Source organism: Homo sapiens, chromosome 3 (genome assembly GCF_000001405.40).
Source record: "Homo sapiens chromosome 3, GRCh38.p14 Primary Assembly".
Classification (NCBI taxonomy): domain Eukaryota; kingdom Metazoa; phylum Chordata; class Mammalia; order Primates; family Hominidae; genus Homo; species Homo sapiens.
This window is the reverse complement of record NC_000003.12, coordinates 11,296,999-11,321,309: the sequence shown is the minus strand read 5'-3', so window position 1 is coordinate 11,321,309 and position 24,311 is coordinate 11,296,999. Positions and strand designations below refer to the sequence as shown.

The 24,311-nt window shown below is 42.5% G+C and overlaps 1 protein-coding gene across 38 annotated transcripts in view; it reads right to left on the bottom strand.

The window, feature by feature from the left end:
- Window positions 1-24,311, bottom strand: part of ATG7 (autophagy related 7) — a 303,957-nt gene that overhangs the window by 255,044 nt on the left and 24,602 nt on the right. For 33 of the 38 annotated variants that reach the window (XR_007095622.1, XR_007095623.1, NM_001349238.2 and 30 more), the window contains 6 exons: window positions 22,455-22,624; window positions 21,894-21,948; window positions 14,250-14,367; window positions 12,249-12,326; window positions 7,890-8,006; window positions 5,817-5,966 (listed from right to left, as the gene is read on the bottom strand). Coding sequence is in view for 34 of the 38 variants with exons in the window: in NM_001349232.2 (NP_001336161.1) it covers window positions 5,817-5,966; window positions 7,890-8,006; window positions 12,249-12,326; window positions 14,250-14,367; window positions 21,894-21,948; window positions 22,455-22,614 (678 nt within the window). In the remaining 4 variants the exon portion in view is untranslated. Of the gene's footprint in view, window positions 1-5,816; window positions 5,967-7,889; window positions 8,007-12,248; window positions 12,327-14,249; window positions 14,368-16,547; window positions 16,812-21,893; window positions 21,949-22,454; window positions 22,625-24,311 lie in introns of those variants that run through there. The other 5 variants (NM_001349236.2, NM_001144912.2, XM_047447307.1 and 2 more) reach the window with 4 other exon arrangements.

The following is a 24,311-nucleotide window of genomic DNA, read 5'->3' as shown; positions in this document are numbered from 1 at the left end:
GTACCTCCACATGCAAAGCTCCCACTCTGACTTGGAACAAAGAGGACTCATTCACCTCCTGACCTTAACAATCCATAGGCTCCCCACTAGGCAGGCTAACTCCTGTCTTTTCCTTCATCTTCCTCCAAGCATGTCAGCACTCTGTGCGTCTCTGACATTAGACGCAGAACTGTGTGCACATGTGGATTTTTCTAGGGTGAGGATCCATTACTTCCAAAACATTCCCAGACATTACGCATCTGCACCCTACTCCAAATTAAGAACCCCTGCTCTGAATCAGCCATGCAGATCATATACCTCCCCTGTATTCTGTCTCCTGTCACGCCAGTAACCATGTGTGTAACTCATTAGACATAAATTGAGGTGTACAGACAATTTGGGAAAGTCTTTGTAAAATACGTGGCCTTAACCAGACAACAGAATGCTCACATTAAAGAGAACACTTACAATGAACTAATAATAAGAGCTACCCTCTACTCACTGAAGGCCTACTGTGTGCCAGGCACTGACCCAGGTGCTTCCCATGAGCAATCTCCAGTCTTCACAACTCATTTATGCATGAATTCATCCTTCCATTGCATTTTACACACCAGGCATGATGCCATGGGATGCAGACACAATGGTGGGAAATCAAAGATAGGGTACCTGTCCTGGTAGAGCTTACATTTAAATGGGAGAAAAATATATTAATCAAAGATCACTCAAGAAAATGTAAAATTATGGACCAGGTGTGGTGGTTCACGCCTGTAATCCCAGCACTTTGGGAGGCTGTGGTGGGTGGATCACCTGAGGTCAGGAGTACGAGACTGGCCCGGCCAACATGGCGAAACCCCATCTCTACTAAAGATAAAAAAATTAGCCAGGTGTGGTGGCGTATGCCTGTAATCTCAGCTACTCAGGAGGCTGAGGCAGGAGGAATCACTTGGACCCAGGAGGCGGAGGTTGCAGTGAGCCAACATCATGCCATTGTACTCCAGCCTGGGCAACAAAGAGTGAAACTCCATCTCAAAAAAAAAAAAGAAGAAGGGATGCACAGTGCTATGAGAGCTCGCAACAGAAGGAATAAACCTTTTTATAGAGGTCAGGGAAGGTTTCCTTGAAAGAGTGAGCACTTAACGGAGCAAAGGGGAGGTAGGGGGAGGGAGGGGTAGAAGTAAAGAAAAGAGAGAGAAGAGAGTTCCAGGCAAAAGGTGCATGCAAAAGCCCTGTGGCAGGGAACACGGAATGACTTGGGGCTGGATGCCCACAGGGGCCAGGCCACACAGACTCTTGTAGGCCGTATTAAAGAATTTAGCCCCTACTCTTAGAGCACAGGGAAGAAGACATTCAGGTGTTTCATTATGATAGGGACACGATCAGATCTGCTTTTCTAAGGAAAACTGTGGGGATGATATGGGAATGAACTGGAGAGGCCCACAGTAGATACAAGGAGGCTTGTTAGGAAGCTGCTGCAGTATAGCAGAGATTGAGGTGGTGGCAGAAGAAACGCAAGGTGGTAGGCTGAGAGACATTCAGGACATGAAATCCACAAGACACAGGGGTGGTAGGGGGAAGACAGCTGTCCGGTAGGATAACCAGATTTCTGGCTTGTGTGACTGGATAGAAGCAGCATCATTCTGAGCCAATGAAGCCAGAAAAGGACCAGCCTTGGGGCAAAGATTGTAAGGTGCAGAAGGAGGCAAGCAGGTGGCTGGATAATATGGCCCGGGGTCCAGAGGGAGGTTCAGGCCGGTGAGAGAAAATTGAATTACTTGGGAGGAAATGGTTTCTGGAGTTGTAGGCACAATGAGATAACCCAGAAGAGAAACAGGTTGAAGAGAGAAACTCAGAGGGATTCCAACATTTCTCCATCCTACACATGAGGACACAGGGCTCAAAGAGCAGCAGTGACTTTTCAGGGAACAAAGTGCTGGTAGGAGGAGGAGGGGGCAGAATCAAGTAAAACATGAAGCCAGAACACAAGTGCAGGATTTCATACTGAAAAGAATGCCTATTTTTGAAAAAAGAGGGTGAAAACCTTCAAGGAAATGTCGTGGCTCGAAGGGAAACTGGAATCATGCTAAAGAGAGTGAACAAGGTTAATGCAATAAAAGCAAGAACCACTGAAAATGATGTCTAGAAATTATTTCTCTAGGGTTCGGCCCTGCCCCCGGCAAAAGCCTTCTTTAATTTTCATACCAGTCCACAATTCTCTCTCTTTCCTCTCAGCATTCTCACATCATGTGTCTCTTAAGTGTCCAGCATTGCACTAAATGTTGAGGACGCAGAGTGGGGACAAACAAGATTCTGTGCTAAAGTTGCTCACAGGCTGGGGATATGGGGCAGGCAGAAAAGCAAATCAACAATTACTTTGGAGACTAGTCAGTGCTAGGAAGGAGGCTGCTACCAGAACACAGAAGAGAGAAATGAAATGGCGCAAGCAATCAGCCAGTGCTTCCTGGGGTAATGAATCAGAAAGGTAGGTGAGGCAGCAGCCAGGTGACAGAAGGGAGACAGAGAGATGTCTGCAGGCAGAGAGATGGGGGAAGCTGCGGCATTTGGAGGGCACAGGGGTAGCCAGAGCACAGGATGTATCTTGGGAAATATTAAATGAGGCTAGTGGTGGACAGGAACTGGAACTGAAGAGACCTCAAACGCCAAGCTAAGTAGTTTTAACGTTATCCCGAAGTCAACAGGAACCTTAGAAGGGTTTTAAGTAGAAGAGTTACATGATCAAATTTACACGTTAGAAAATGCACTTGGACAGCAGTGTGGAGGGGAGACAGGAACATTCAGGGCCACAGGTAGGAAAGGCAGCATGAAGGCTATAAAACTCCTATGAGGCCATCATGCTCTAAGGCTTCTGGTGATCTTTCCTAGAATAAGATAAGGCATAGAAGACCAACCAAAGTATCACCCGTATCAATTCTCTGAACTTATCTTCCATTACTTGAATTTCTCCTTAATTTTCCACAGGTCAATGTCTGATCTCCTCTAGAAGACCTTAGGTGGTGTGAGAACAAGTACAACTGTATCTCAAAATTTCTGGCCCATAAGGAGGTGTTCATCACGTGTGCTGAGTAATTCCAGGCTTTCCTGAGATACCACCCTAACCAAGTGAAGGATAGTGTGCCTGAATCCGACAAGCAGACAGGCAGTTAGTCTCAGGGACAGGTTTCTGGTGAATCCCTCAGAGCACTTCAGAGGAGACCCCAGAGATTTGTTGTCTTTCAAAATATACTGCTGTTGAAACATAAAGGAAGTGGATACATATTGAGCATCTACCATGTGCTCAGCATTTTATTCACATTATCATGTTTAATCCTCACAAAACCTTATAAGGAGGTGGCATTACCACCATTTAACAGATAAACTAATACAAAGAAAAGTTATGCAGTTTCCCCAAGGTCAAGGGAATGGTAGAAAGGCCATAGGCTTGTGGCCGGGCACAGTGGCTCACGCCTGTAATCCCAGCACTTTGGGAGGGCGAGGCGGGAGGATCACGAGGTCAGGAGTTTGAGACTAGCCTGGCCAATATGGTGAAACCCCATCTCTACTAAAAATACAAAAATTAGCTGGGCATGATGGTGCGCACCTGTAGTCCCAGCTGCTTGGGAGGCTGAGGCAGGAGAATCACTTGAAGCCAGGAGGCGGAGGTTGCAGTGAGCCGAGATCGTGCCACTGTACTTCAGCCTGGGCGACAGAGCAAGACTCTGCCTCAAAAACAAAAAAAAAAAAAAAAAAAAGAAAGAAAGAAAGGGCATAGGCTTCGGAATCAGACAATGTGGTCGTGTGACTTTGAGTCTCAAACAGAAAATGCAGATACTAATTAACTAACCACAGGTAGTAACTAACGCTTGTTTCACAGACTTATCATAAAAAGATCAAGTATGTGAAAGTCCCTTTTAAATTAATTGTAAAGCACTGTTCAAACTGTTATTATTTTGGCAGAGCTGCACTTTGGGGAGGACCACTTATTTACCACATACAACCTGACCTACGGTCGCTTCCAAACACAGGCCATTTAATCCTGCCTGCTATGACAAGAGGACTTCACACTAGATTGGACTTTAAATTATTAACGGTCTTATTGCTATACTAATTTAGCTGTGGTTCTGTGAAATCACCTGGGGGAAAGAATTTTAATAAAAATTCAATCTTCAGTCCTCAATTTAAAAAGGGCTTCCTCTGGGCCAGGAGTGGTGGCTCACGCCTGTAATCTCAGCACTTTGGGAGGCCGAGGTGGGCGGATCACAAGGCCAGGAGATCAAGACCATCCTGGCTAACACGGTGAAACCCCATCTCTAATAAAAATACAACAAAAAAGGGGAGGTGGGCTTCCTCTGAAAAATAAAATGTAAATGTAGTTGATTTTAAAATGTGCTTTTAAAAAAAAAAGTCATCCTAAGTTCAGGCTAAAGAATAACCAGACCGTCAGTTAAAGGCTTTCCTTTTTTCAGCTCTGATATATTCACATGGCTATGGAGATGATTCCATTTGATTTCAGAACTTCATAACACTCATAATCTTTGATATTTTTAATTCATAGTCTCCTGTATGGCTAAGACAACTTCCTATATATCTGATCACTTCTAAAAGACATTTACGGTACTCTTTCATTCACTCAAAAGAATTTTATTGAGGGCCTCAGACAAGTACTAGACACTATGCAGACACAAATTCATAAGACTTGGGCCCTGCCCTCTTGGAGCTTACAGTCTAATATGGCACAAAAAGAAACTTGTACAAGGTACTGGACCTGCAAATGAGGATCAGGGAATAAATGCAGTGACTTCAGATAGGGATAGATCATATATGGCCACACCATGATAATGCTTCACAGTGGAGATAGAATTTCAATAAGACAGAGAGAATTTCTTAGGGTTTTCACAAGTAGAACATGTTTTAGGAAGATGATACAACACGAGGAAAAACAAAGATACAAAAAAAGTTTTAGATGTATCTGACGGGAAGGGGATGGAGATTCTGGAGAAAAATAGATAAGATTAGCTGGAGCAATGCTTTATGAGGAAAATAATGGAAGATAAGGCAGGAAAGGCAGCTTGGAGCCAGAAGGAAGACACCATTATGCTCTTGGTCAATGAATGATACACTAAATGTGGGTAGTTCAAGGGAGATTCTTCTACAGTAGTGTTGCACAACATGGAAACAAGATTCTAAGTGTCCAGGAGTGTGATATGAGGGGCCTGAACTACAGGGTAGTTCTGGGAATAAAAATTAAAACATAGAGGGTAAAATACATCAGGAGGGAAAACGGAAATAACTTTAGCACTAATAGAGAGTAAGGTATTGGCTGGGCACAGTGGCTCACACCTATAATCCCAGCAGTTTGGGAGGCCGAAGCAGGTCACGCATTCAAGACCAACCTGGCCAACATAGTGAAACCTCGTCTCTGTCTCTACTAAAAATACAAAAAATTAGCCAGGCATGGTGGCGGGCACCTATAGTCCCAGCTACTCGGGAGGCTGACCAGGAGAATCGCTTGAACCAGGAAGGCAGAGGTTGCAGTAAGCCAAGATTGCGCCACTGCGCTCCAGCCCAGGCAACAGTGCGAGACTCCATCTCAAACAAACAAACAAAAAAAAAGAGTAAGGTATCAAAATTATTCTGAGCTGTAGTAGAGCTAGAAAAACCTAGAGGAGCTGATTCGATAACTGTAGGGGTGGGAGAGGATAGAGATAAGGAAATGTTCTTAAACATCCTTTGAAGGCTAAGGAAATCTAAACAAGTTTGAATTTTGCAGTGGTCTCTTGTAACATGAACTTCAGATTTTTTAAAAAACTATATAATAAAATGATACTCAAAGTTTATCTGACCTTCGTCCTTTGACCTTGGAAGAAATCACTGTAGTGTTTAAGCAAGGAAACCAGCACCATGTTCTCATCATACTTGATTAAGAAGTAAGGAAGAGCTGTGACTCCTTCTGTTTGACAAAGATTATCATATGCACACTCTAGTGCTTCAATCTGAAAACAGAAAACACGTTGTTATTCTCTAGAAAATTACATTTCTAGTTCTGGGCTAAAAACTAACTCAAAAAAAAGGTACCTTAAAACCAGAAGACTAGAAATGACTGATCACACTCCTCTTACTCTATTACAGCAAGTGAACATAGAAGTGCCTCCAAATAATACCACTTAGCTTTTATATAACACTTTCCAGGGGCATGGTGGTGTGTGTCTTAGGGGCACAAAGGGACTACAACATGGTAGTTCCCTAAGCTGTCAATCAGAGTTTTAGAGCGGTAACGAAACATTCTTTCTCTCCTATGATAACCCAACATGAATCTACCCCTGATGAATTTTACCCCGAACCTTTCCATAATCTTCAACAGCTTTACTGAGACATGACTAACATACCATACAACTCACCCATTTACTACTTTTTGAGACAGGGTCTTGCTCTGTCACCCAGGCAATCACAGCTCACTGCAGCCTCGACCTCCTGGGCTCAATCAATCCTCCTACCTCAGCCTCCTGAGTAGCTGGGACCACAGGCACACACCACCATGGCTCAGCTAACTTTTTTGGTATTTTTTATAGCGATGGGGTTTCACGATATTGCCCAGGCTGGTCTTGAACTCCTGAGCTCAAGTGGTATGCTCACCTCTGCGTTCCAAAGTGCTGGAATTACACTATAGTTGTGAGCCACCGTGCCTGGCCCAATTCACCCATTTAAAGTACATAATGCAATGTGCTGTTTGTTTTTTTAGTATGTTCACAGGGTTATGCAAGCACCACAGCAATAATTACAGAACATTTTTGTCCTCAATAAAAGAAACCCCATACCTGCCAGCAGTCAATACTCAGCCAAAATCCTTTTTCCTTACTTATATTTCCTCTTGGGAAATTAGTTCCACAAAACCACAACCTCGGATTTGTACGAACAACAACAAAAAAAATTTAATCAATAATGGCTGCTCCCTGAACAGCTCCAAGAGAGCTCCCTGAATGATGGCATCAGTATTCAGGGCTTTAGTGATTGATGTGTTTCAAGAATTCAAATCATCTTGACACATAATCTTTGCCTTAACAACAATAAGAATTCTCTAGTTTAGGGTCTCTGTTATACCAGCCTGATTATTTTAACTGCTCTTCTGGGAACCATCTCTAATGAACTTATTATCTATCCCAAATGTCACCGACTAACTCTGCATGTACTGCTCCAGGTAGAAAAGTTCTGCAACTTGGTACAAGGGTAGGAGAATGCCTTCTGTTTTGTTTCAAAGACTCTTTCCCAGACTATACTGCCTTATGTTTCCCCACATTGAAAATGAAGACCACATTTTGGTAAATTCTTTCAGTGTTTCAAAATATTCCTATAATTCCCCCTTACTGGCTTAGCATTTCACCAAATACCACTGAAAACCTGGAAAATTACTGTGCACTACATCTTCAAAATGACTTTACAGACCAGGCAGGGTGGCTCATGCCTGTAATCCCAGCACTTTGGGAGGCTGAGGTGGACAGATTGCTTGAGCCCAGGTGTTGAAGACCAGCCTGGCCAACATGGCAAAACCCCATATCTATTAAAAGACAAACATTAGCCAGGTGTGATGGGATGCCTGTAGTCCCAGGTGCTCAGGAGGCTGAGATGAGAGGATCACCTGAGCCTGAGAAGTTGAAGCTACAGTGAGCAGTGATCGTGCCACTGCACTCCAGCCTGCGTAATGGGGGTGAGACCCAGTCTCAAAACATATATAAATATATATACAAAAAAATGACTTTACAAACATTTTCTAAATAAGTCTGCTCCTAGTACCACCTTTGGAGGATTTCAGTTACCACGTCTTCATCCAGAGAAGTGCCTGTTTGTCTTTGGAAAGAACTACATAACTACTCTTGCACATTCAACCCAATTTTATGTGCATTTTGGTTATTTGTTGATACCTGTTTTAGTGAAAACCTTTGATCCAAACCCACTGGCCCCTGAATGAGAGGTAAACTCTCTGGAAGACAGAGGGCAGGATAGCAAAACCAATAGTAGAAGTGGTACTTCTTTAGATCCTAGAAAAAAAAGTATAAATAAGTTATTAGAATAGCACCATTAACTTAAGGTGAAATGCATCTATTAATGTAGCTTCTCAAGGCCAATTAAGATAGCAAAGCTATGCAAACAAAGTCTGTCCAGCTTATCAAATATCCTCATCCCCAACAGAACTCATGATCAAATAAAGGACTTTTGTATTCCCAAAATAGTCTCATATACCACCACTAATAATATGATGACAAACATAATATACTTTATTGACCACTTGCTAACAGAAAATGTGCAATATGTAATTGATATTATCATCATCATCCTTTAACCTACAAAACCCCCCTGGGAGGTATTTACTATTATCCCATTTTATAAACAGAAAACTGAATCTTACAAAGGGGTAAAAAACCTAAACAACAACAAAAAAGATGGCAAGGGGCAGAGAAGAGATCAGAACTCTGCTTCCAAAACTTAAGCTTTTTTCCACTGACCATAGATACTTAATGTACTATCTACAGAAGCACAACTTCCAAACAGTTACCATTCTCTTCACAATCAAATAAATTACATGTTATTAAGGAAGCTGTGCTATTCACATATGTATGCATGCCTGAAATAATACAATATTGCTTTTGTAAATGGCTTAGTGGATTTAAGTCAACAACTATCAAGCCCTTGCTATGTACAAGGCAAAACATAAGACACTGACAATAAGATGAATAAACCCCAGTCCCAGACACCAGGCAGCTCACTTTGTGGACAGAGCAGAGATAAAGCGAGTGCATGATTAGAGCCATGGAGAGGCTCTAAGTAGTAAGCTGGATGGGTGAATAGAAGAGGTTACATCTTCACGGGTATATCTGACCGATCCCCCACCAGGGTAGGAGATCCAGGGGAAAGGATTTGTGAGGCTGTCTTTGACACTGTTCCCACTCACGCTAATGGCTCTTGCTTCAGAATTCTTACAGCTTTTGGGGCCTTAATTAAATTCATGGTAGCATTCCAGACATATGTGGGTATTTGGCAGCTTGCCTACAAGCCTGTGACCACTGAATATGAATGCAGTTTATGTAGCTAATTAATATTTCTTCTTGAATCTTGCTAAGAATTAAAATTGGATGGTTGTTAGATGACTTTTTATTGAGATATAATTTACGTTCCATAAAATTCACCATGTTAAAAAGTATACAATTTAGTGGTTTCTTTTTAGTATAGTGATATGGTTGTACCATCATCACTATTAATTCCAGAATATTTTCATCACTCCAAAAAGAAATCTCATACATATTAGCAGAGACTCCCCATTCCCCCTCTTCTCATCCCCTGGCAACCACTAATCTATTTTCTGTCTCTGTGGATTTTCCTAGTCTGGACTTTTCATATAAATGAAATCATACTAGATGAGTTTTAAAATGTAAATGTATATGTAATCATGTGTACAGATGAGAAAGTCTAATAATTGTAATCTCTGCGGTCTCTAATTCTGCTATTCATTGATCAACTAAGAAAAAATTCCCTCTTCACAATGGCAAAATGAACTGCAAAGCTGAAATTAATGAACTGTCTAGTCCTATGAGTCCTAAAAAACAGCAGAAGGAAAGCAAAAACACCTCCAGAGATTATTTTCTCTTCTTTGTACTTAAATGATTTGTCATAACCGATATTTAGTAAAAGGTTAAACAATTCAAGATGAAGAAACTCACAAAATCTTTTTTTTTTTTTTTTTGGAGACAGTCTTGCTCTGTCACACAGGCTGGAGTGCAACGGCACGACGATCTCAGCTCACTGCAACCTCCACCTCCCAGGTTCAAGCAATTCTTCTGCCTCAGCCTCCCGAGTAGTTGGGACTACAGGCTGCCATGCACAGCTAATTTTTTTTTTTAATTTTAGTAGATACGGGGTTTAACTATGTTGCCCAAGCTGGTCTCAAACTCCTGAGCTCAGGCAATCCGCCTACCTCGGCCTCCCAAATCGCTAGAATTACAGGCATGAACCACTGCACCCGGCCGGACCTCACGAATTCTAAGAAACTTTATCAGGTCATTTTCAAAAGTCAAAAAGCTTGCATTTCTTAGGATTCTTTTCAGGATAGAAATGACCTCCATTAAATTAAACATAAAGTCCTTGGTGTCTGAAGATTTTAAAAAGTAGATACTTACAATTTTTTTTAAGTCAGGCTAAGAATGCTCAGTAAACAAGGCAGCAAGACCAACACACATACTGACTCTAGGCAAACCTTAAAACTTTAAGTAAGAGCTAATGTTATTTTTCTCATTAAATGCAAACTGTCAGCATGTTCTACTATGAGAATTCTTGGTACAGAAAGCGTACTGACGTTCAAGTAACTAGAAATCTTTAACTAGCAATGCTTACAATTTATCCCAGTAAAGAGCCTACAGGCTGCATGCGGTGGCTCATGCCTGTAATCCCAGCACTTTGGGAGGCCGAGGCGGGCGGATCACGAGGTCAGGAGATCAAGACCATCCTGGCTAACACGGTGAAACCCCCTCTCTACTAAAAATACAAAAAATTAGCCGGGTGTGGTGGTGGGTGCCTGTAGTCCCGGCTACTCAGGAGGCTGAGGCAGGAGAATGGCATGAACCTGGGAGGCAGAGCTTGCAGTGAGCCGACATCGCACCATTGCACTCCAGCCTGGGTGACAGAGCGAGACTCCGTCTCAAAAAAAAAAAAAAAACTACAGAATTACCCAAACGTATAGACAGATTATTAATGCCAAACTGAGCCAAGTAATCAGACAAAAAATTTAAACATTTTTCTCTCTCCTCCACTATTACATAGAAAGCATTATAACTTGTTAGAAAATGTGTTCCTTGTAGATAGCCACCCACTGGCCTTGTTTGATTGCTATCATACCCTCCTTTGCCTTGGGCAATAAATCAGAGGCCTCCCCTGCATCTAGGAATCTAGGAGGAACGGTGGGAGGTCGGGGAAGGAAAACTTGCCAAAAAAAGAAGTGGGAAAGAGGATTAATGTCCAAAGCTGATGATGCTGTGGTGAAACAGCACACTTAATACACAGCAACATTACTGTGTTTATATGCCCGCTCCAAAGAACTTATTCTAAAGAAGTAAAATGAGCAGGAGAAAAGATCAATATGGCTAATATTATATATTTTTCAATATACCACAGTATTTTTTTTTTTTTGAGACAGGGTCTCACTCTGTTGTCCAGGCTGGAGTGCAGTGGTGCAATCATGGCATGCTGCAGCCTCAATCTCCCAGGCTCAGATGATCCTCCCACCTCAGCTCCCCAGTAGCTGGAACCACAGGCAGGCGCCACCACACCCAGCTAATTTTTATATTTTTTGAAGTGACAAGGTGTTGCCCAGGCTGGTCTCAAACTCTTGGCCTCAAGTGATCCACCTGCCTCAGCCTCCCAAAGTGCTGGTATTACAAGCATGAGCCACTGTGCCCAGACTAGCATTTTTTATAACAGTGAATATTAGAAACCACCTAAATATATAACAGGAATCTATGAAACATACATTTGACAGAATGTTATATAGTCAATATAATAATAAAGGATATAAATTAGTTTTATATACACAGATATATATACACACATCTGTGTGTTGCTGTGTGTGTGCACGTGCCTGTGTATAACTGGTATCTGTGTGTGTGTGTACGCACACACGCGCATGCATGCATAGCTGGTATCTCTATAATCGACCCTTACCTTTTCCCTACTTTTCCCTCACCAAGGCCAGGTCCTTCCATCTACATCCTACCCCTTCTTCACTGGGCAGCACATGTTACCCTAATACGATTTCCTTTTCAAGGCTGCCCTTAACGTTCATTTTAATTAGATTTCGCTTACAGAAAACATGTTTCTGTCTTTAAAAAAACAAAAAAAAAAAATCAACAAGCGATTTTGTGGTCAAGCTATGCAGTGTGATCTCCTCTAATCCAGAAGCACCTTTCCTTTATTTAGATGGTATTTAGGATGGTATTTAACAAAGGCGTTAGCAACAATGAAACCACATTCCCTGAACCTGACTTTATCATGCCCTGTGTTATATAAACTATGCAATTACTGCCAGTATGATCCATAGGGGTGAATTAAGTTAGCATTGGTAATAGGTGCCAGCACTATCTGGCCACTAATCAAATGAGCGTTTCGTTAACAGCTATTATTTAAGTAACAGAAGGTAGTAGCTTCGGAGAGAAGAGCAGACTGTTCTACTGGTACACTGGGCTAAGCCAGGGGATTTCACCAACCTCGGTGCAACCGAGAGCCCATTTACTTACTGCAAATGTCAAGAGGAGGAACTTGTTGAGGAGTACAGGGTTTTCAAGAGCAGTGCCTGATTTTATGGATTCCCATATCTGCAAGAAGAAGAAAAGCATCAAGGCAGGTTACCAGGCATCTCTGAGTTTCTCACTCTCAGGTGAAGTGTGGAGCTGAAAAGCACCAGGCTCTTCTTTCCTACAGGCCCAGCACCACTTACCCCAAACAATGAAGTGGGTTGTTACCTCACTCTGCCGACTTCACACTGCCTCTCTCCCAGCCACACTCCCTTCAACATCTAAGCCAAGTGAGGGAACCCAGGCGCCTCCTCTCAGCAGATCTCAGCACCGAGGGGGCAACCAGGCCATTTTCATGCCTTCACAATCTCCTTCAGCAAATATTTACTTATTGTCTACTATATACCAGGCACATCAGGGTTACAGAAATAAAAGACACAGTCAGTCCCTACCCTCAAGACACTCGCAGTCTAGATAGAGAGACTGGCGTAAATGTATAACTTCACCACCATGTAGGATTTGCTGTCACAGAAGTAGGTAGAATTTATGGGAGGAATCCTCTGCAGACTCTGCTGGGGAACGGGGAGAGTAAAGAGCCTGGGAGGGGCTCTCAAAGGAAATGCTGTGAAATACACATAGGGGTTTCTTGAAGTCTTATTTGAGATTATCTTGCCCTGAGAGATGAAGAAAGAAGAACAAACTTCAAATTTATGTATACTCAGCAAGTACTGAGACTAGGAGCAAATGCTGGTGCTGGTCAGCAGCTGTGGATCACAAGATGTTTTTGTAGATAAGATTCGTAGCTAAACTTGGTGTTACTAAGCAAGACAAAACAGTTGCACTAATAAGAATCATTCCCTAAGTGTGGGTGGAAGAGGGAAATAAGTAAGCAGAAGTAAGTTCCTGCTACTGACATACTGGCCTTGGAGAAGCTGGACCACTGAAGAGAGGCCCCCAGTTTCCGGTAAGCCGAGGGGGCATGGGGCAGAAGCTGCTAGGAGAATTCTGGGCCCCAGTTGAGGGGTGGGATATTCCTGTGGGGGCAGAGCCTGCTTTTTTCCAAGATGATTAAGGCCTGACCCAATTCTTTGGAGACTCCCTTTTAAATGTGCAGCCAAAGCAGGAGGCCCAGGAGCAGTCAAGCCACAGGTCAAGAAAAACGACCATCCTCTCCTGAGTCACAGCTGCGTCCATCCCGAGGGATGTGAAGGAAGCCTGCCTCAGGACCTGACCACTGCACCCACACCAACAAGATTCATGTCGTGATAAAGACTGGTATAAAGACTCCTTGATTACAGCGGTTAGACAGGATTGGGATAAACTGCCCCCACCTCCCATTTTAATTCCTCTCACTAACTCCAATGTAAAGAAGCAAAGGAAAGACATTCCAGGCAGAGAGGATATTGTATTCCCAAGGAGAGAGGACAGAACAGAAAGTAGGTAGAAGGAATTACATGTGATTTGCTATGACAGACTCAGAGAATGCAAGGGCAAGAGTAAAGAGGTCAGAAAGGAAAAGAGGAAAACAGGGCCAGGCCACAGAGGCCTTGAAAATCAGATGCAGTAGATAAGTGAAGACACTGCAGAGACTACATGATAATCTCCTCTACCGCCATGGTGCACAGGATTGCCAAGCCTCTCCAAGGCACAATAAACAGAGTGCCTAGAGGCATTCAGCCACAGGAACACAACTCTCAGAGGTCTGGCTGCTTCAAAATGCTGGCTGGAGATGAGCAGCAAACTGATTACTTAACCTCTGCCCTGCCATGTTATTTCCAGCCTATCCCAGGTGAGAGCCTGGATGTCCTCTCCCTGACCTTCCTGCCAATACAGAAGGAGACAGCTGGGAGTATTCTCTCTGGAGAAATATACCAAAGCCCACAAGTGTCTTTAAGTTCCCTTCATATGCCAGTTTCTGCAGCAGACCCATGTGCCTGATCACAAACACTGCACCTGCCAGGACCACAGGAAATATGACACATACATCACGTTTTCACAGCTAACCTCATTTGCTGCTTGTTCCAAAAGGAGCTTCTTATCTGCAGTCTTGAAAGACTCGAGTGTGTTGGTGTTATACAGTGTTCCAATAGCTGGGCAGCAACGGGCTGGGGTGGGAGCACTCCTAGATACAAGAGAAACACGGTTAGTCAGGCACAGCTGGGACTCAGCCAGGGAGAGACAAGTCAACCACCACTGTAGTGGGATAAAAAGGGTATTGCTCTGCAGGGCAAACAGAAGATTAACTGTATGTTTTCTTGGAAAAAGATGAATATCATAACTCAAGAACTAAAAAACAGGCACCATTCCCCCCTAAAAGCCTATATATTCCCTATACTCTAACCTATCAGGATGCTGTTCTACTGTCCCCCAAAGAGAAGTTCATTTCCTATTTGTTCTTCTTTCCCACCTTTAACCTGAGGGAAATATTGTTTGTTGAGCTGTGCACAGTTTGAATTCTCATAACAGCTCTTTTCCCCCATTTAAAGGTTTAAGCAACTTGCCTAAGGTCACATAATAATAGGCAGAGCTTGAATCTAAAACCAGAACTAGCTGAGTCCAAGGTACTGTGCTGTGCCTACGCCACCTCTCAGACCCTCCCAGGCTTCAAGGTCCTGCTCTAATCAATCTCTCCTCTTCCGGAAAGCTATCTCCACTTTCTCTGCTAAGAGTTGGCACATAAAACTCAGCATAATATTTTCTAGCATTTTCAAGAACTACAGTCATACCCACCCAGCTGGAGGACACTAAGCTCCTTGAGGATAGAAAGTATGTGTTCTCCTGACTGCCCCACAACCTAGCCCACCCCAAACAGGGCTCTGCACAAAACTGCTGCTGGGCAAGCCCCTGACGGTTGTCTGCAGACAAAATGTCTCACACCTGGGCTACCTGTCAATCTGTCGTGCCACCAGGTTTACACACTCTACATTGCCCCCAAAGGCCTCACAGTCCTCAGAGTAAGCAAAGTCAGGAGAAGAGAAGAGGAGTTGATTCTGAATACGAATTCAGATGTGGACAAATCTGGTCTCTTCTCTGAAATGATTAACTTGCATTTCAGAGTTTACAGATGTTAAATGAAAATATTCATTTCATTAGTAGCCTACTAATGTTGTCGCAGCTAATGCAGACAGAATGCCTTTTCACTGACTGCACTGATGACAGCTGCATAGTTTAGAAGAACCTATGTCTTTTCATTTAAAGTCCATGTAAAATTGGGTTTATGGGGCTGAAAGAGTAGAAATCTAAACCTAGAACAGGTATGAAGGGGTGCAATGAATGACATGGCTCTGTCAAATGCCGTCTGTCAGGCTCAAATGCCAAGTCCTCAGGGAGAGCTAGCTTTCAATGGCCAGAACCTTCTCTTGGGAGGTATGAGTCAGCAAATCACAAGTTGTTTGTCACCATGCTCCTCCAATAAAAGAATATTTTTCATCCAGGTGAGATGAGGACATCCAAGCTGGTCTTGAAGAGAGAGAAATCACAAAGGGAAAAGATTAAGCCCAGAGGGAAGGCAAAGAAAGCAGAGCAGTTGGTAAACTAGGCCTTCTACATTCAGACTTGGCTTTATGAAATTACTGCTGAAACAGGATGTGGAAACAGAAGGAAGAATGCCATGATCTAATTTGGACACAAGCACAGAAGAGGAAGGTACCCTTCTTCCCAAACTTCCCAGGTGTGTGAGAGCCATACCAAAGCCTCATTTTGTGAAAGGAGAAAACTGCATACCAAGAACTCAAGCAACTGCAAGATGGCTAGGCTCCTAGGAGCATCAGCACTTATGCAAGTTAATTAGCCAGGACAATCGGAAGCTTCAAAGGAGAAGCATCTTTCATGACTAAAGTTCCACCATGGGAGGTGGCAGGAAAATGAATTTAAAAAGTGATAATGAGAGGGAAGGAGCCTGAGACTTGGAGACAAGAGAATTTAGTTCAAATCTTGGTTCTGACACTTCCTAGTTTAGTTTCCTATGGTTCCACTTACATGAAATATGCAGAATAGGCAAATCCTCAGAGACAGAAAGTAGAGTTATGGTTGGCTAGGGCTGGTGAGTATGGAGGAGGGGGGATGGAGAGTAATTGCTAAGGGTGTCTTTTTTGGGAGATGGAAATGTTCTGGAATTAATAGTAATGGCAGCACAACTCTATGAATCTACTAAAAACCACTGAATCGTACCCCTTTAAACTAAGGGGTGAATTTTATGGTATATGAATTATATCTCAACATAGCTCCTAAAAAGAATTCAAATTAGAAATTTTCTCCACATACTAAGGCCAATAGTGAACTTGCGATAATGCGTATACTAACCTAGTAAAAATGGATCTCACAAAGGCCGGAAGACTGGGCCTGCTTTGGGGACATTACAGCTAGACACTTGGCCTTCACTTCATTCAGTCTCACAGCGATGACTCAGGAAAGTGCTGGGGCTGTGTTGCACCAGTTATTTACACTTGGCCAACAGGCAGGCAGGTGGTCAGAACGGAATAAATCCTCTGGAAGAGCACCTGTGCTCATCATACCTGGAGGAATCTACTTCGCACACAGCTTCACATGCCCACAGGGAACGCTGGGAACCCAGAAAGTCACAGTCAGTTGGGGGTCATGTTGGGGGTCATGCTTCTTTGTCATCTCCTGACTTCCCTAGCAATCGCAGAGTTTCTGTTTGTAACATCCTCTAACACAGTCCACTGGTGTCTTTCCATCAACCACACCACATGTGATTTTGACAGCCATGCGCTTAGACCGCTTGTAATTCAATTAGGCAGTTATTGAGCAAATAGTACACCCCAGATCTGTGTTGGGTGCTGGTGATACAGCAGAGAATAAGAAAGACACAGCCTCTGCCCCACACACGAGTGTGCCTAAGACTCCTACTTCCTTCACTACCTTTTCAGTTCTTTGAGGGCAAGAATTATGCCTTCTATTTCTCTAATTAGGTCCAACTTGAGGCATAGAAAAGAAAAACATTTTTTTCTTTTTGAGACGGAGTCTCACTCTGTCACCCAGGCTGGAGTGCAGTCGTGCGATCTCGGCTCACTGCAAGCTCCGCCTCCCAGGTTCACGCCTTTCTCCTGCCTCAGCCTCCCGAGTAGCTGGGACTACAGGCGCCCGCCACCACGCCCGGCTAATTTTTTTTTTTTTTTTTTTTTTTTGCATTTTTAGTAGAGACGGGGTTTCACCGTGTTAACCAGGATGGTCTCGATCCCTGACCTCGTGACCCACCCGCCTCGGCCTCCCAAAGTGCTGGGATTACAGGCGTGAGCCACCGCGCCCGGCCGAAAAGAAAATTTCTTATGAATAAAGACAAATATTCCTCAAGGGAAAGAAACCCACAGAAATGTTCTTCATTCAAATGTTGATCATTTGAGGCCCAGAGAAAGGAAAATTCTTTTTTTTTTTTTAGAGACGGAGTCTCGCTCTGTCGCCCAGGCCGGAGTGCAGTGGCAGGATCTCGGCTCACTGCAAGCTCCGCCTCCCGGGTTCACACCATTCTCCTGCCTCAGCCTCTCAAGCAGCTGGGACTACAGGCGCCGGCACCACGCCCGGCTAATTTTTTGTGTTTTTAGTAGAGACGGGGTTTCACCATGTTAGCCAGGATGGTCTTGATCTCCTGACCTCGTGATCCGCCTGCCTCGGCCTCCCAAAGTGCTGGGATTACAGGCGTGAGCCACCGCGCCTGGCGGAAAATTCTTTTTTTTTCTCAGCTTCACATAGGTATAGAGATTGTCAATCAAAATCTATTTTCCTCCTTGTCAACAGAAACAGAAAGCACACATAACGTTTTAGCTGGGTTCCACGCTTCCCAGTCTTCTTTGCAAGACAAGTGAGGCCACGAGTTCTCCTCAGTAGAATCTGAGTGGAGTGATAAATGTCCCTTCCCTCCAGGGCCTTTAAGAGACTAAGTGTGTCTCTTCCACCTGTTTGCACCTTGGCTGTCTTTCCTCATTAATCTGTTGTTACCTGAAAGTGACAACTGTCTTAATCAGCACACAATGCAAAGTCCTCAGGGATAATGGAGCCACAACATGGAAGAAGACTGGACCAGCAGCCCTGGGCTATTTGATGAGCAAGAAATGAACTTCTTAGTGTTTGGGCCCTTACATTTTTGGGTCTGATCCAGCAGGATACCCTAACTCAAGACAGCATATTCCAGTTTAAGACAGTTGGTGCCTGATAAAATACTACTTGACTGACAATTCATCTAATACAATTCAGAGAACAGGATCCTTAGAGATCCATAAGACTATCAGGGGCACAGAGTAGAAGAGACTTATCCAGTGCTATGCAAAGCTGAGATACTCTTGACATCTATAAGTGAGTACTGGGATTGTTAGCTATTCAACTGTATGTCATTCCTGTCTGTATGCCCAGCACCTAGCACATTCTGTTATCAAGACACAGAGGAAGCAATCAATAAGTTTTCCTGAAATAATGATTACCTCTCCATGCTTATTACAGCACTGAGCACACTATAATGCAAATATTTGCCTTCTACTTCTCTCTCTCATACAGTAGAGGAGCTCTGGAGAACATATTTCATAAGTCTTTGTATTCCTAACACACACACATCTGCACATTGTAGATATTCCTTCTTTGATAAATAAATTCATAAAGACTTTCTCTACCAACCCATGCAGATATACAGCAATCAAAACAAAAATGGGGTAATAATAAAGGAAATAATTTGGAATAAAGAAATCAGGCCTTCTGAGAAGTCCCAAGCACTTTCATTAAACTTCTCAGCCATCCTAATAGGGACTCAGAAAGTGACAGACTTTTAAAACTGGAAAGAACATTAGAAAGCAAGAACCCATTTTAAAGATGAGGAAACAAAAGCTGAGAAAACTAAAAGAGCTTATTGAAGTAGCACAGTTAATTAGCCATAGATTCCAAATCTTCAAACTTCGAATCCAGGGCTATTTTCACACAATGGGGACCACATCTTATTTCTGTTCACATCCCACTGTCTACCACAGTGCCTTGCACACTGAGGGTATTCAACGGTTAAAGAAAAAATATGATGAGTGAAAATGAGCAATTTGTGTGAAAGTCATAGCTGCAGGATCACAGATTTTCTTATCTCCTTCAACCAAAATTTTTAGATTAATTAAGTTTAAGATGCTCACATTTTGTAGTAAGTTCAAACCTAACTTCTGTGAACTGCATTTTTCTAATTAATTATTCTAAAGAATAAAATTATTAAAACCTTATAAAACAAACAGTCCAGTAGAAGGATAAGGATAGGAGTGAGGTTAGTCTGAGATAAATATGAGGCTCTCCAGATTACACAAAACAGACTGTTGATGCTCCCCCGTACCATCTTCAGACAATTTAATGCTTGTACATTTCCAGTAGTTTCCTCGTCATATCTTACTGGCTCCAAAATAAGTTAGTTTGCCAAAACAAGAGAGAGATTATTAGGATTTTATTTCTTTTGACAGGTAACCACAAGCAGTTTACGATGGAGCAAGAAAGCTCCAAAGGGAACAAGAAACACCAACACATACATTTTTAAAGATACAAATACTAAAATCATTGTGGATGTACATCGTGCTTTCAAATTTTGCAACTGGATTGAGATAAAGGGAAAAAAAGTATTGATTTTCTGAGATTAAAAAAAATTCTAGGGACACTTTATTTTAAATATCCTAATAGTTGACCATTGCCACTTTCAAAAGCCAGAAAGACCTATAAGACTTCTTCACCTTCCTAAAATTCCCCATCTTGATACTGCTGAGGTACAATAAAGCAGAAAAAACACTGTAGCCTTTTTCAATTCTCAATAATCTTAAAGGCCCTCATCTTGGTTTCAGCTCCACCCTCTTTCTCAAACTGAATTCTTAAGGACCACAATGACTTAATCAACAAACACAGTGGCCCTCGCATTGACCTCTGTGCTTCTGACACTGTTAGTTTCTCTTTCCCTCCAGAAAGCATTGCCTTCTTTGGTTTCTCTAACACTTTTCTGGTTTTCCTCTGACAACCCCTGTGTCCTTCGCTAGTTCTGTATCATCTTTCACCTCCCTAATTAGAGCCATTCACTGTTTGCGCCTTTTGTTCTTATACTATACAGATGCTCCTCAACTTACCATGTCCTGATAAACTCATCATAAATTGAAAAAAATATCATAAATCAAAACTCTATTTAATACGTCTAACCTGCCAGACATAGCTTAGTCTAGCCTCCCTTAAACGTGCCCAGAACACTTACATTAGCCTAGAGTTGGGCAAAATCATCTTAACACAAAGCCTGTTCCATAATAAAGTGTTGAATATCTCAGGTAATTTATTGAATACTGTACTGAAAGTGAAAAACCGAATGGCTGTATGGGTCCACAAAGTATAATTTCCACTGAATGTGTATCGCTTTCTCACCATCGTAAAGTCAAAAAGTCATTAAACCACCATAAGTTGGAGACTATCTTTATTCTCTTTCTCCTCTACCTGGATGTCTCCCAAATCTAGTCTGATCCTTTCTCCCCGTCTCCAGTTCCTCCTGGACATTTCTAGCAGACACTGTCATCTCAAACTCAACATATTCTAAACCAAACTTGTCTCCTCCTAAATTTGTATCCCCCTCCTGGTTTCTCTATTTCTGTAGAAGATAGCAAAATCCCTGTAGCTACTCATACTGTGTTTCAGAAATACATTTATAAATACATTTTTTTCTCTCACCCCTGCTTTCTAAATTTGGCCAGGTGTGACCCTGGGCAAGCCATTTTTACCTTTCATCCCATGCTTTCCTCATCTGAAAAAAGAGAGAAAAATCACACCTGGCGAGTCTCAAAGAACAGATGTTTATGAAAATGCCTAATTAAGTGCTCAATAAATGTGTCTCTTGGCTGGGTGTGGTGGCTCGATCGTGTAATCCCAGCAGCACTTTGGGAGGCCAAGGCAGGCGAATCACTTGAAGTCAGGAGTTCAAGATCTGCCTGGCAAATATGGTGAAACACTGTCTCTACCAAAAAAATACAAAAATTAGCCAGGCATGATGGCGTGAGCTTGTAGTCCCAGCTACTTGGGAGGCTAAGGCACGAGAAAAGCTTGAACTCAGGAGGAAGAGGTTGCAGTGGGCTGAGATTGTACTACTACACTCCAGCCTGGGTGACAGAGTGAGATCCTGTCTCAAAAAAAAAAAAAAGTGTGTCTCTTCTCTCCAGCAACTCCCCACAGCTCCCAAGCAGATTTAAAAAAATTCTTCAAGGATATATCTATCATATTCCTTTATATAGCACTATAATGCCTTGCACAGTGGCTTGTATACAGAAGTAGACTAATAAACATTCATTGATCAATGCCCATGGACAATGCCCATGGACTAAAGGAGTGAATCAAGAGAGGTATCAAGAAAAGAACACAAAATATTAACTACAATCAAAATCAAGAGGGATATTATCTATGTCTCAATCAATCTAGATGGCACCTGGCACCTAATTGACTCTGATAAATAGGTGGTGAAAAATTAACCAGGCAGACCTAAGTATCCAGCACTCATCTCTATGGGAGGTATAAGAGAATCATGAGGGGGGCTGACTCTGCCCACCGGGAACTTCCCTAGTCCTCCTGTGGTCCACCTATGAGGGAGGCAAGCATGCTTATTCCTTGCCAAAAGTAGTATTCTTTACTTCAGATTTTGAACAAATAAATACTCACATGTCAAAAGCACTGAACTCCAATGTTAAGCGAGCTGGCAGCCCAGCAGAGTCACCTGGACAGAAGCATTATCACATTTTCAATGACAAGTCAGAAATAGCAGCGTTCATAACAAAAATGCTTATGAATAGTTTTCTTCTCTTTGTTGAGCCCAAGGCGCCCCATCCAATTTCTGATTATCTATGCTACATAGATAATATATGTATGGATAGATAAATGGCAGAATGTGACAGAGCTCTTGTGAATATGAGACATTCGCCAAGAATATAAAAAAGATTCAATGGAAAAAATATTTCCAATCTCTTCCCACAGCAATGCTAAGTAATGGGTATTATTTGGATTAATAATTTGAGTTTCACTACTCTCTTTCTTTTTCCCCACAACAAGAGAAAATAAATGAAAATGAACTGGGATCAAAAAGTCAGGAAGTAAAATAGAAACTAGTGAAGAGCACTGATTATAAAAGACAAGGCTGTCTCTTTCTAAAGGAAAGCTGACACTATACTGGAGGACCGTGAGGATAACAGAAGATGATGGAAAATGAAATTTACAATCACCTACCATTGTAGTAATAACCCTTAATGTCCTTGGGAGCTTCATCCAGCCGATACTCGTTCAGCTTCTTCTGGGTCAACTCATGCCAAAACCCAACATCCAAGGCACTACTAAAAGGGGCAAACTGCAGTTTAGAGAGTCCAGGATCCCCCGTAGCTGCCGCCATTATTTCTTGCCTATTAAAAAACAAAACAGAACACAGCAAAATAACATATCCATGCAAAACCTGGTGAGAAAGAACATTTGTAATAAAGTTTAATTCAAACAAACAAAAAGTAATGAGATGTTTACAGGCTACCTTGAAACACAACTTCTTTTTGGATTGTGGTAAGAAACACATAACATATACTTTACCATCTTGATTATTTTGAGGTAAACAGTTAGGTGATATTAAGTATAATCACAACGTTGTGAAACAGATCTCCAGAACTTTTTCATCTTGCAAAACTGGAACTCTATACTCTTTAAACAATAACTCCCCATTTCCTTACCCCCAGGACCTTGCACCCACCATTCTACTTTCTGTCTATACAGGTTTGACTACTTCATGTAAATGGCATCATACAGTATTTGTGTTTTTGTGACTGGCTTATTTCACTTAAGACACAACTTTGAAAACCATCCTAATTGGCCTGTGTTGTCAAGCTGATTCTCCTCATGACACAGTGATTTTTTTTTTTTTTAATTGAGATGGAGTCTCACTCTGTTGCACTGGAGTGCAGTGGTGCAATCTCGGCTCACTACAACCTCCGCCTCCCGGGTTCAAGCAATTCTCCTGCCTCAGCCTCCCAAGTAGCTGGGACTACAGGCGCATGCCACCACGCCCAGCTAATTTTTTGTATTTTTGGTAGAGACAGGGTTTCACCGATGACACAGTGATTTTTCTAAGTAACCTTTGCGGCCTTAATGTTTATGCTTCTTCCTTCCTTGAGTCAGTCTGACTGATGCACTACTGTTATTCCTTCTTCGACACAGACACTGTCTCAGAAATTTTTGCCATCTTGTGTGGTCCTGGAGAACTCTGCAAGTACAAAATCCTAAATCCAGCCACTCAGAAATGCAACAACCCAAACTGTCAGAATTCTGTCTGAGAGCAGTGCTTTAACACCTCTAGCTGAAGCAGATAATGAGGATATGCTTCTCCCCACCTCCCACAGTGCCTAAATTTCTTTGAAATCTCATATTTTATCTTTTCAATGCATGGAAATTTTGTATTTTGTGCCATGATATATATTTTATTATTTCATTTCCCCCTTCGAATCATCTAATAAATTTGACCTTCCTGGCAATCATGCATACGTATACTGTAACTTTCTATAATCCCTCCATACTCTCCGGGGTAACATACCCCAGTTTGAGAAGGACAATACTAAAGAAATCTGGCAGCTCCAAAAAGCAAATTGATAAGGTCCCTTCACTTTCCATTCTGTCCAATTACCCCACAACCAGACATACAAGTATTTCTGCAGCAGAACATATGAACAGTCACTGTAAATGGGATACATTTACAGGGTCACGCTCTGCTGCCCAGGCTACAGTACAGTGGCACAATCTCAGCTCACTGCAACCTCAGCCTCCCAAGCTCAAACAATCCTCCCACCTCAGCCTCCCGAGTGGCTGAGACTACAGGCATGGGCTACCGTGACTGGCTAATTTTTCTGTATTTTCAGTAGAAACCAGGTCTTGTCATGTCACCCAGGCTGGTCTCGAGCTCTTGGATTTGTGATCCTTCCACCCTGGTCTCCCAAAGTGCTGCGATTACAGGCATGAGCCACTGCACCTGGCCAAATGGGATATATTTTTTAAAAACAGCTCATATCTACTCAGGGAGGTTTTGCTTGAGTTTTGTGCCAAGACTATTAA